General features: G+C 43.6%; 1 annotated feature.

Annotated features, from left to right (window-relative positions):
* Positions 2344 to 2973: an enhancer, noted in NCBI's record as "H3K4me1 hESC enhancer chr10:2332433-2333062 (GRCh37/hg19 assembly coordinates)". NCBI's record gives its function as "activates a minimal SCP1, AML or CMV promoter by ChIP-STARR-seq in naive H9 embryonic stem cells {active_cell/tissue: H9 hESC(naive)}" and the evidence as "EXISTENCE:reporter gene assay evidence [ECO:0000049][PMID:30033119]".

Here is a 12162-nt window from a genome sequence, read left to right on the forward strand (position 1 = left end):
GACCATAAGAATTCAAAAACACTCTTAAGAACCCAGCTCCTCCCCGGAGGTTGCAGTGAGACGAGAATGTGCCACTGCACTTCAGCCTGGGTGACAGAGTAAGACTCTGTCTCAAAAAAAAAAGAACCCAGTCCCTCCCACTTGGCCCTTAGACCCAGGTCTCCAGCCAAATGCCAATTAGAATCTTGTCCTTCGAGTATGTAAGATGAGCAGCTCCTTCCTGCCCCTACACCAACTTAGCTCTTTTTTCTTCCAAATTCTATAAATAATACATCTCCCGAATAGCTTTGGCCCACTGGCTTTCCACCTCATAGATGTAAGTTTCTTTTTCAATCCGAAGTCTGAAAAGGCTTAGGAGGTAACTGAGCTAGTTCAGAGGATAGGCCTGAATCAGTCAGGACGAACTACGGGCATGGGTTGAAGAGTGGCCCCTTCATATGTACGTTCATTTCCTAATGCCTGGTGTTGGTGAATGCGCCCTTATTTGGAAATAGAGTCTTTGCAGATGTAATCACATGAAGGATCTCAAGAAGAGATCATCCTAGAGGACCGGGGTGGACTCTAAAGGCAATGACTATTGTTTGTACAGGAGAAAGGAGAGGGAGATTGGAGACATAGAGGCATAGAGAGGAAAGCCCGCGTGGAGAGGGAGGGAGAGGTCGGAGTGCTGTGTCTACAAGCCAAAGGATGCCAAGGGCTCCTGACAGCCCATGGAAGCTAGGAGCAAAGCATGGGACAGATTCTCCCGCTGAGTCCTTAAGAAGGGACTAGCCCCCGCACACCTGGAGGGACTTCTGGCCTTCACAGCTGTGAGATAATAAATGTATGTTGTTTTAAGTCACCCAATTTGTGGTCATTTGTTACAGCAGCCCTGGGAAGCTAATCCACCAGGCTGTTCAGTGCAAACCAGTAACTCCCCAGTGAACCTCCAAATCACAGCAGTTCAACACAGAACGGTTTTGGTGGTTTGTTTTATCATTCAGAGGCCGCTCGACATCTGGCAGTGGCTCAGGCTGCCTCCTTCTAGGCCATGATGAGCACTGGTTCACCTTGCAGCTTCACTACCTCCACACATGACCCAGAGTCCAGCACATCAGGGGAAAAAGGGGAGTAAGGAGCCCACAGATGCGGTCAGTGGCTCCACGCAGAAGCAGCACATGTTGGCTCCTCAGTGTACTTATTGACCAGAGCTCCTCACACTCCCTGGCAGGATCCTTGTGGGCTTCAGGAAACTGCATGCCCAGCCCCGCCCCACCACCCCCCAACCTGATCTTCTCTCCTTCACCGACACCACCAAGAAGTCCTTGGGAGCTGGATTTTAGAAACAGGCTAGTCCTCCCCTCCGTTCACAGATGATGACATTTCTACCCAACCATTTAAATGACTGTGTGAAATTCACACATGGAATTAATGTCATGCCGCCACGTTTTCACAATGTGTGGTGTTCTCCTAGTGTCCCTGATGCTTGAAGACCCTGGCATCGAGTTCCCTGGGTCACCAGCAGCAGTCGTTTAAGAGCAGAGCAATGGCACCCGCTCTGCAACCCAGTGGCCGCACTCTCACAGACTGGGTGAACATCCTGCCTGCAGCTCCACATGTGGAAGACTGAGCTATTGAAAAATGTCACACCCGTCTGCACACTCACACTGTAAAATAGTCCTCTCAAGATTCACTTTCCACAACTTGTACTGAAAAAGGAAAATTAAACTCCATGAAAAATGTGACTTGAACCTTCCTAAGAACAAGGTCAACTTGGTGGGCACGGGAGCCTTCCAGTCACAAAGAACTCCCCGGGGTGGGGGCAAGAAATTCTTAATGTCTTCAGCAAGTGAAGCTGCATTTTTCTTTTGCAGTGGGTTCACACATTATGTAACCAATCCTACATCCGACCAACTGCAGTCAACACACCTAGGTTTGCCGTACGGCTGTTTAAAAAAAAATCTACCCAAAAGTTGCAGAATTTTCATGAAGCATGTTGTTTCACTTGGGGCTTTATTCCAGATAATTCAAAAATCCAAGAGAAATAAGTAAATGTAACATGCATTCGAAGTCACTCCGATACAGTGAATTGTGAGGTATTTCATTAAGTAAAAATATACACCCCGCTTTAAACCATCTGTTAATAATTGACCAAGGTTGCTTTCCTTTTAGATTTTGTTTGTTGCTTCATTTTCAAGGGAACTTAGAGTGATTTCAAAATATAAATAAAACAAGTTAGGAGGAAGGGAAATGCAATAAAGGAAAAGTGGATTTGTAGAAATCCAGGCTGTAGAACCCCGTACAATGGTGATGATTGGTTATAAATAGGTGGGAGAACTTCCTGATACCCAAAACAAGGGAGGAAATGCAATCAGTCATACATTTCTAAATGCCCATGGCTCGCATTGGAGTGAAAGCTGGTGAAGACACAGGATGGAAGCCCTGTGAAGAAGGAGGTCTCCGTCCCTTTGGCCCAGGATGTATCCCAGGGCAGAGAGGGGCAGTGTGCGGTGCAGCCTGCGTGCAGTGAGGGCACCGTGATGCGAGCACGCCCTGGAGATGCCAGAAGCAGCGCCCCTGACAATGCAGGACAAATGCAATCCTCCTGTGTGGTGCAGGATGGGTCCCAGGGCAGAGAGCGGCAGTGTGCAGTGCAGCTTGCACGCAGTGAGGGCACCCTGATGTGAGTGCACCCTGGAGATGCCAGAAGCAGCGCCCCTGACACTGCAGGACAAGTGCAATCCTCCTGTGTGGCCCAGGATGGGTCCCAGGTCAGAGAAGGGCAGCGTGAGGGGCAGCCTTCATGCAGGAGAGCACTGTGATGGGAGCGCCCTAGAGACGCCCGGAGCAGTGCCCCCAACACTGCAGGACAAGTGCAATCCTCCTGTGTGGCCCAGGTGGGCCCCAGGTCGGAGAAGGGCAGCGTGAGGGGCAGCCTTCATGCAGGAGAGCACTGTGATGGGAGCCCCTGGAGACGCCCGGGGCAGTGCCCCCAACACTGCAGGACAAGTGCAATCCTCCTGTGTGGCCCAGGATGGGTCCCAGGTCAGAGAAGGGCAGCGTGAGGGGCAGCCTTCATGCAGGAGAGCACTGTGATGGGAGCGCCCTGGAGACGCCCGGGGCAGTGCCCCCAACATTGCAGGACAAGTGCAATCCTCCTGTGTGGCCCAGGATGGGTCCCAGGTCAGAGAAGGGCAGTGTGAGGGGCAGCCTTCATGCAGGAGAGCACTGTGATGGGAGCGCCCTGGAGACGCCCGGAGCAGTGCCCCCAACACTGCAGGACAAGTGCAATCCTCCTGTGTGGCCTTAGACTGGGCACGACTTTAGAAGGCAAAATTCCCCCAATAAATAAATATATACAATCCTTGCACCCCTGTGATCGTTTCACGAGAACTTCTGCATTTAAAGTTCATGGTAGAAAATAAGAACAAAATACAGCTCAATGAAAGGGATTTTGTGGCGACAAAGGACATAATCTACAAAGGAAGTTTCCCAGCCTTTGAGAACCTACAAAAGCCATGTGCTGTCTGCCCAGAAAAGAAGCGATTAAATACCCCCTAGTTTGATCAAGCATTTCAGGTGACCATGGTCCTGACTGAAGGCAGATACCTGATTCACATTACGGTGTGGCAATTTGTGTGTCAAAAGACGAGTTCTTGATTATACTAGTAGATTAACCTCAAGTGCTTAAAGAAATTGCCACTAAAGCCATTTCCAGCAACCTAGACCCTCATAGAATAGCGTGGTATAGATGTGAAAGTCATGCTTTCTGGAAAGATTGCTCTCTATAACTAATTCACGTGATCGGTTCAGGTAATTTAGAGATTGCCAACTTTGTCACATCCATTTATTCTTAACAAGAGCATAGGTTCTAAATAGTAAAATTCATTAAAGTCAAGATTTTTATATTCTATATATTTATAAAATATTATAGATGTTATATGCTTTCAAGCCAATGTAACATCTCTGAATTTAGTGATTATTAAAATAAGAATATCAATATCTCTGCAAAATATGTGTGTATTTATCATACAAGATAAAACTATCACCCCTACTTTTCATAAGAGTTTGTGTGATTAGCTCAAACCCAAAGGTCACAACCCAGTCTTCTTAGTCCTGGTCCTAAATCTTCATAAAAGTGATAAGCGGTATTTCCGAATGGAGGCTAAAATGCTTATAACACTATTCATTCTAAACGCTATTCCTCACTTCTTTTCCTGACCATGATGCAGCATGGTTTTTCACCAAAAGCATCATAAATGCAAGCATTAAAGCAGATTCGATTTTATAGCTAGAAAAGAGATTATTATAACCAATGTCCTTTATTAAAATTGTTTTTATTTTATTTAAAATGCTAATACTTGCTAATGTAGAAACTGAAAATATGATGTTTTTTTAAAGTATCCAACAAAATAATTGTATTTTCTACCTTACACCTTAGTGTAAGAAAGTTTAAAATATATTACATTTATAATGTCTTCAGTTTCTGGGAGGATATGAAGTCATTTTACCAGGTCAGAAAATTGATTTGGTCCTTTGCTTTTTGCTAGCCTCAATCATGAAAAATAGAAATTTTGATACAGTATATTCAATCCTCATCCTTAGTAGCATTATTCTGCTTGACTGTGGTGAAAATATTTCATTCTAGAAGAATACTGCAGGCCTTGCTAGGGGCCTGCAATGAGTCCAGGCATTCGTGGAGATGGGTAAGTCAGTCCAAGTGTTGCAATTGGATTTTATGCACTCTCCCTACATACAACTAAATTCCAAAGCCCAGTTGATGTCATCACTATGCAACTGTCAACCTTGTCCAGAAATTAGTAGAGGAGATTCCGCCAATAGGCAGGAATAAATGTTTCCTGCCATCGTTTCACATTTAGTAATTACCTGAGGATCTTGTTCGTGCTTCTTAATGTTGAACAGGGTCCAGATCACATTGATTACTGACAAAAATCAGCACACTTGGAATTCAGATATCAAATACAATTAGATTCACACTGTTTTTGAATTTTTGTATAGATGTGTGTTATTTAATAACAAATTATTTATAACTAATTTAGAGTCAGACTATCTATGTTAAAGACCCATCTCTGCCCCTGTATGTTTATGACTCTGCCCCTGTATGTTTATGAACAACTGCTTTAGGCTTTCTTTCTTTCTTTCTGTTTTTTTTTTTGAAACAGAGTTTGACTCTTGTCACCCAGGCTGGAGTGCAGTGGCACCACCTCAGCTCACTGCAACCTCTGCCTCCTGGATTCAAGTGATTCTCCTGTCTCAGCCTCCAGAGTAGCTGGGATTACAGGCGCCAGCCACCATGCCGACTAAAGTTTCCACTGAAACTGTGGACTGAGATACAAGTAAGTAGACAAATGTTCTAGTGGCATCTTTTCTAATGGCTTTAATTGTATTTTCCGTGTGTGTGTGTGTGTGTGTGTGTGTGTGTGATCGACACAAAATTATGAATTTAGGTTGCAAGTTTGACAAGAAGGAGAAGGCATGACATCGTCCTTCAGGTAGAGTGGGAAAGTGAGTGGAAAAATGTGATTCTCCAGTAAAACTAAGCACCTCCTTAAAGTTCTTTAACTATGTCTTGTTCTCTTTTAATTGAACTGAGTTGGTTTTGGTGGGTTGCAGCTGAAATCCCTTCCTGATGCAGTACCTGCTTCAAGTCACTCATCCTAAACCATCACTAACGTGAGCAAAGGGGAAGATCCAAACAGAGAGAGCAGCCAATGCAGGGAAAGCCACTTTGGCTGGGAAGTTTAGCTGCTTGCCCCTCTGTAAGAGTCCGACTCCCTTTTGCTAGGCAAAACCTTCGCTTTTCCATTTTCTCTATTTCTTTAACAGAAACAGTGTTTCATCAGATTATAGATATCAGAATATTGGTAGAGGCACAACTGCAAAAAAAAAATGTGTTCTTTTTGAGTGATCCCTATTTTCTTACCAGTACAACTCCAGGCCTCCGCGATCATTCCCAGCTCTGGGACAGGAAGCTACTGAGATACGGAATCACCAAGTGACCTCCAGTTAGAGCCCACATCCCATGCAGAGCAGCCGTACCTTCCAGATGTTGGGTCCTGCCCAGAGTCACCCTGGAGCAGCCCCACCCTACATCCTTCCTACCCACAGGGCTCCCCAGTGTCTGCTTTCTTTGGCTCCACAGAGGAAAGTGGACCCAACTTTGGACTGTGACTGCAGGTGTAATTTCGGTTGTCTCTAGTTGGTGAACATCAATGCAAAAGCACAAGGCATAAAATCTGAACCTAAAATAACATGAAAATATAAAAAAGCTCTACTAGCATTTATGTAATAAGTAAAACAGAATTTTCAATATGATGCCTTGCAGCTTGCATTTTCACTAATAAGGATGATAAATACAACGAGGCCAATTTCACTTTTCTTAAAACCTCTCCAAATGGAATTGGGAACAGTGAGAACACATGGACACAGGGAGGGGAACATCCCACACCGGGGCCTGTCAGGGGGTGGGGGGGAAGGGGAGGGAGAGCATTAGGACAAATACCTAATACATGCAGGGCTTAAAACCTAGATGACAGGTTGATAGGTGCAGCAAACCACCATGGCATATGTGTACCTATGTAACAAACCTGCACGTTCAGCACATGTATCCAAGAACTTAAAGTAAAATTTTTAAAAAATGGAGATCTGATTTTTTTGGTATGCATTGCATGCTAGCTTTTATATCAAGTAGACATTTGGCAAGATTTGTTTTCATTCAAATTGTTTAATTTTGAATTCTTCTTATATTTCAAACAGTGCCCAGCCCAGGTACGTCCTGAGTAGATGTGAATTTGGGTTAGTGTCATCACTGTCCCAGAATCACTTTTGTCTGAATTCTACAGACCTCAGTTACAGTATCTGTGCAGTGCATTGGTGTTCGTTTATGGTAAAGAGCTGCGATGCCTACTGTTCGGAGAGAACAATCACAGGCTAACCTTTCTCTGAATGCCTGTCGGAAATGCTGGCTCTGGACTGTCGATTTCATCACTGTGTTAGAAACACTTTTGCCCCAAGTGCATCTCCTGGTCCTGATTCTTAATTGTTGTTATTTTGCAGAGTAAAATATTGATGAGATTGGTCAAAAAGATTGACAGCTGCATGAATTGTTATTAACCAGACCGTTGGTTGCAGCTCACATTTCAATACACAGTAAGATGAAGCATGGCCCTCGGGGACTCTCTCTCTCCTTCTCTTTTCCAATAGGCAGATATTAACCCTTTCATAGCGCTCTGTGTAACTTTTTTCTTACTTTCCTTTTTCCTTGAGCAATGAAAATGCCACTTATTGATTTCAACCATGAAACTTGAAAAGACCAATCATTTATCAAGTTACAAATTGGTAATTATCCAGGAAGCTCAAAGTAGCAAAGGATTCCATATTGCTCGCTTAGGGAGCTAAGGGTGGGAACACAGTGCTGCCTAGCGAGGGCACACCTCCTTGGACTTAAAGTCAACCTTGGAAAGACAAAAGAAAACAGAGCAGCAGAGAGGAGGGTTAAATCCAAGCAGGGAGAAGAGACATGGCTTCTTCACACACCCAGTGAGTGCAGAGGGACACACAGACACACACTTACAGGAAGGGAATGGCTGATACCATTGGATCGTTGGGACACATTTGTCTATTCCTTCCTTTGTGCAGCAGACGGAATTGGATCCTAAGGCATCCTGTGAATGGTCTTGTCATCTACAGATCACACAAAACTTCTATCCATCTGACATACATCAGGATGGGTTAGCTTGCATCTGTGTGATGATTATTGCCAATGTCATTTGTAATCAATAACAGGAACTGAAGAACAACACTACAGTACAAGACAGAAGCCACACTTCCCAGAGGTGAGAAGTAAGCAATTCCAGTGCCACGCATTGCAATGCAGTTTTCTCCTGAGAGCCAATCTGGGTCTCAGGAAATGGAAGAGACTGAATTAAAGGTAAGTATTTTCAAGCGCATTAGTCAAAACAATTACTATAGTCAATATTAAGTTATGTGGCAATTTTTAAAGCAGTGTAAGCTGCCCAGTTTTTAGGGATGATTACATTAGGGAGTTTCAGCCCAATGGGAATCGTGGTGGAGAATACTTGATGTGCCTATCGGAATGAGTTGCGCAGCAGGGTAACCAGGAAAGTCTGTTAAAAATGAAGATTCCTGCACAGAATTCCAGACCAACTGAAGATGAATTCAGGTGTTGCTAGAGGATCTATCTGTTTAACAAGATTCACGAATGATTATGATGGAAGAAGCCTGTCTTCAGTTTGAGACCCTTGAACATTTCTAGTCCTTTTCTCATCGCTTAAATAATTAGCTACGTAATACAGTCATGTGTCCCATAAAGAGGTTTTGGTTGTGGTCCTATGAGATTATAATACCATATTTCACTGTACCTTTTCTATGCGTTGATATGTTTGGAAACACAAATGCTTACTTACCATTGTGTTGCAAATTGCCTGCAGTATTCAGTACAGCCCCAGGCTGCCTGGGTTTGTAGCCAGGAGCAACAGGGTACACCAGAGCCCAGGTGTGCTGGAGCCTCTGCCATCTGGGTTTACGCAGGTTCACTCTATGATGTTCCTACAAAAGGCAAAATTACCTAAAAATGCATTTCTCAGAACATAGCCCCAGCATTAAGCTATGCATGACATATTCAGAAATATCTTGTCTTCTAGATTAGCTCTTAACAAAAATAAAAATCAGAATAGCAAATAACACAGGGCCGCATACTAAAATCCACGCTTTCCTCCCCATCCTCCTCTCCAGCCTACCCAGCTGCTGGGAGACTCCCACATTTAGTGACTTCACTTAGAATTTCATATGAGGGTTACCAGGGTTGCCATGTGACACATGTAATTATTTTTTAATTCATCAGCTTTATCTAGGGACTTGTTTCTCTGAGGAGTAAAAGTAGAATTTGTCTACACTCTTCCCTGCCATTCCCTTTTCCATTGCTTACAGTATAATTATATAGTTACTTTAATTCTACATATTTAATTTGTTCATAATTTATAATATTTTCTTAAACTCCATGCCCTATTTCACTAACTTTACAGAATATTCCCTAGATTCCTAACTTGGTTAATAACCTTCTCCCACCTTCTGGCTTATTATTATTATTTTTTTGAGATGGAGTCTCGCTCTGTCGCCCAGGCTGGAGTGCAGTGGCACAATCTCCACTCACTGCAAGCTCCGCCTCCCGGGTTCTGGCCATTCTCCTGCCTCAGACTCCCAAGTAGCTGGGACTACAGGCACCCGCCACCATGCCCGGCTCATTTTTTTTTTTGTATTTTTAGTAGAGACAGGGTTTCACCGTGTTAGCCTGGATGGTCTGGATCTCTTGACCTCGTGATCCGCCCTCCTCAGCCTCCCAAAGTGCTGGGATTACAGGCGTGAGCCACTGCACCCGGCCTATGGCTTTTAAATATCTTTCAAGTTTTTCTTTCTTTTTTTTTTTTTACTTTCACAGGATTAATTACATTTATATTATTTTTGTAACCCAAAATAAGATTGTGTGTTTTGTTTACAGATTAATTTCAAAAGAAAAAACAACCAGCAGCCTTCATTATTAGCATCGTTAATAATTTCAGAGATTGTGAGGCACAATCTGACCACTTCCCCAAGGAATTGTTTCAAAACCCTTCTGTTTTCTTGAGCAAACCCAGTTGCTCAAACGAACGCCACCATTTAGACTGTTATCCATTTGGTTCATAACTCTTTGAAAACTAATTATTTTCATGAAGTTTCTGATTACCTCCATTTTCTTACTGTGTGAATACTCGTATGCCACATTCCCTTTTCACTTAAACCTAAAATGCCTTTACTCAATTAGTAAAAAGTCAAATGAAAAAATGCCACCTTATTCATTTTATCCTCATGACAATTTTTGATTTTGTGTGGAAACCCATTGGCTTCATCTTCTACAGCGGACTGGATATATCATATTTGGTTGGCATGTGACCTTTAATAAGACACTTTTTTAACTTTTGGGTTGAATTTTACAAGTCTCAGTGTGTGCATTGCTGTATCTGGGAATGTTTGCTTTCTGGCATTCACTCTGCTACACTTCTATCAAGGCCTCTGATTGACTTTAGACTTTCTTGTCACCTCCTTCTGCCTCAGAATTCAGTCTGGAATGGTTGTTCTTAAAGTTTGTGAGTAGCTGTCATCCTAGGATTTTTCTTTCTTGAATTTTTGGGTCACAATAATTGTTTTGTGGATCTATTTTTTGGTGTTTCTTGGTTTCCAGCTCACTTTGTTGAAATACATTTTAAAAAATTAATTCTCAGCTGGGCATGGTGGCTCATGCCTATAATCCCAGAACTTTGGGAGGCTGAGGTGAGTGAATCACTTGAGCCCAGGAATTGGAGACCAGCCTGGGCAACATGGTGAGACCCTGTGTCTACACAAAGTACAAAAATTAGCTGGGAGTAGTGGTGTGTGCCTGTAGTCCCAGCTACTCAGGAAGCTGAGGTGGGAGGATCACCTGAGCCTGGGAAGTCCAGGCTGCAGTGAGCCGCGATCGTGCCACTGCACTCCAGCCTCAGTAAGAAAGAACACCCAATCTCAAAAAAAAAATTACTTTTCTAGGAATGCATGCCCATGAAACATTTTCTAAGTCATCACATGGGTGCAAATGAGCCCCGCTTGGTTCACTGTGGCCTTGATCCACGTAGGTATTGAATATCCTTCCCTTCACTGCCTGAAATGCATCCGCCCTCCATGTCAAGCAAGCATTTGATCCTCCTTGTTGGGAGACAACAGCCCACAGCATTTCCACACATTCTGTGACAGCTTTTGTACTACAACACTTTCTAACGGATATTCTTACAGCCAACAGCCTGGGAGGCCAGAGACAGTGTCTCTCTCCAGGGCAGAGGGCAGATTTGTTCCTTGACCAGGACAGTAAAGATAACGTCTTCCTGTAGGGCAAAGCTTGGGCAGCTTTGTTCATGTCTCCTTTTGAGACTGAGGATCATCCATTTGGGTCCCTCACTCAGTCAAAAACCTACTCCATCAGCACCATTCATCTGGTCACCCCTTAGTGTTCACGTCAGACTTGGTGAGCAAGCAAGCAAAAAGGGCCTCTCTGAACAGATTCTCATGCTGCCTGCTATGTCAGGAGTAAGCACCTTCTTTGTCTCTGACTCAGGAGTCTCAGGTCATGCTACCATCATTTATGAAGTTGTGATTGCTGAACATGTTAGATTGCAAACGAGTAAACAGGTCAGACCCTTTACTAAGTTGATACCACTTAATTGCATTCTGAATTCCTTGTTCTGCAACACTTCAAATGACAGAGGTTTCAGCCTCCAGCTAGATATGGACTCTTAAAAAATGTCCTAATCAGAATTCTGTAGACTCTTTTACACAGAATTCTGGGTACAAACATCCTCTGTACTCAGAACTTTGAATGTACGTGTATATTGTCTCCTGGTACTGGTGCTGAGGATGAGGATTCCAGAGGCTTACTATTCTTTTCCTGATGTCCTTTAGGTCTGTTTGTTAAAGCTTTTATTGTTTTCCTCCTGGATGCTTTCTGGTCTCCTGTTTTGTACGTGGTCTTATGCAATTTTAAATTGATATGTCTCTGTGTGTTAGGACAAGATGTGGTCTTCTTGGAATGGCTCTGGTTAAAAATCTCCTCTTTCATATCAAACACCCCTATAGGAAGAAATACTAGGTCACTAGACCTATCTTACCTATGAGAAACTAAAGTTAGCTCTGCATGGGGTGACAGTCATGGGATGCATTGTTGGGCAAGGCATGAACTGGTGCCAGGAAATAAGTGATGTGGCTTCCTGTGTTGTTTGGGATAAACATGTGAAAAGGAAGCCTGGAGCTCTTCTGACCTGGCAGAAGCTGACCCAAAACTGCCCACCTGAGAGTCATTCTAAGGAACTCCAGAGAGAGGGCTAGGGTGGCAGACAGACACTGGGACCTGCGTGAACTTTAACAAACTGCCGAACTAAGAGAACCGTTCTAAGGAACTGCAAAGAGAGGACTAAGGGTGCTGGACACTGGTACCTGAGTGAACTTTAACATAAGCTACTATTTGCCTTGTGTAAATATATTCTCTGTCTAGGGCCCTCTTAGCCTAGTGGGGGGCTTTATTTTTCATTCATCCCTCTCCATGTTCAGTCAACATTGTTGAGGTGGTCTACAACAAAGTCT

The sequence above is a fragment of the Homo sapiens genome, chromosome 10, assembly GCF_000001405.40.
Source record: "Homo sapiens chromosome 10, GRCh38.p14 Primary Assembly".
Lineage (NCBI taxonomy): Eukaryota > Metazoa > Chordata > Mammalia > Primates > Hominidae > Homo > Homo sapiens.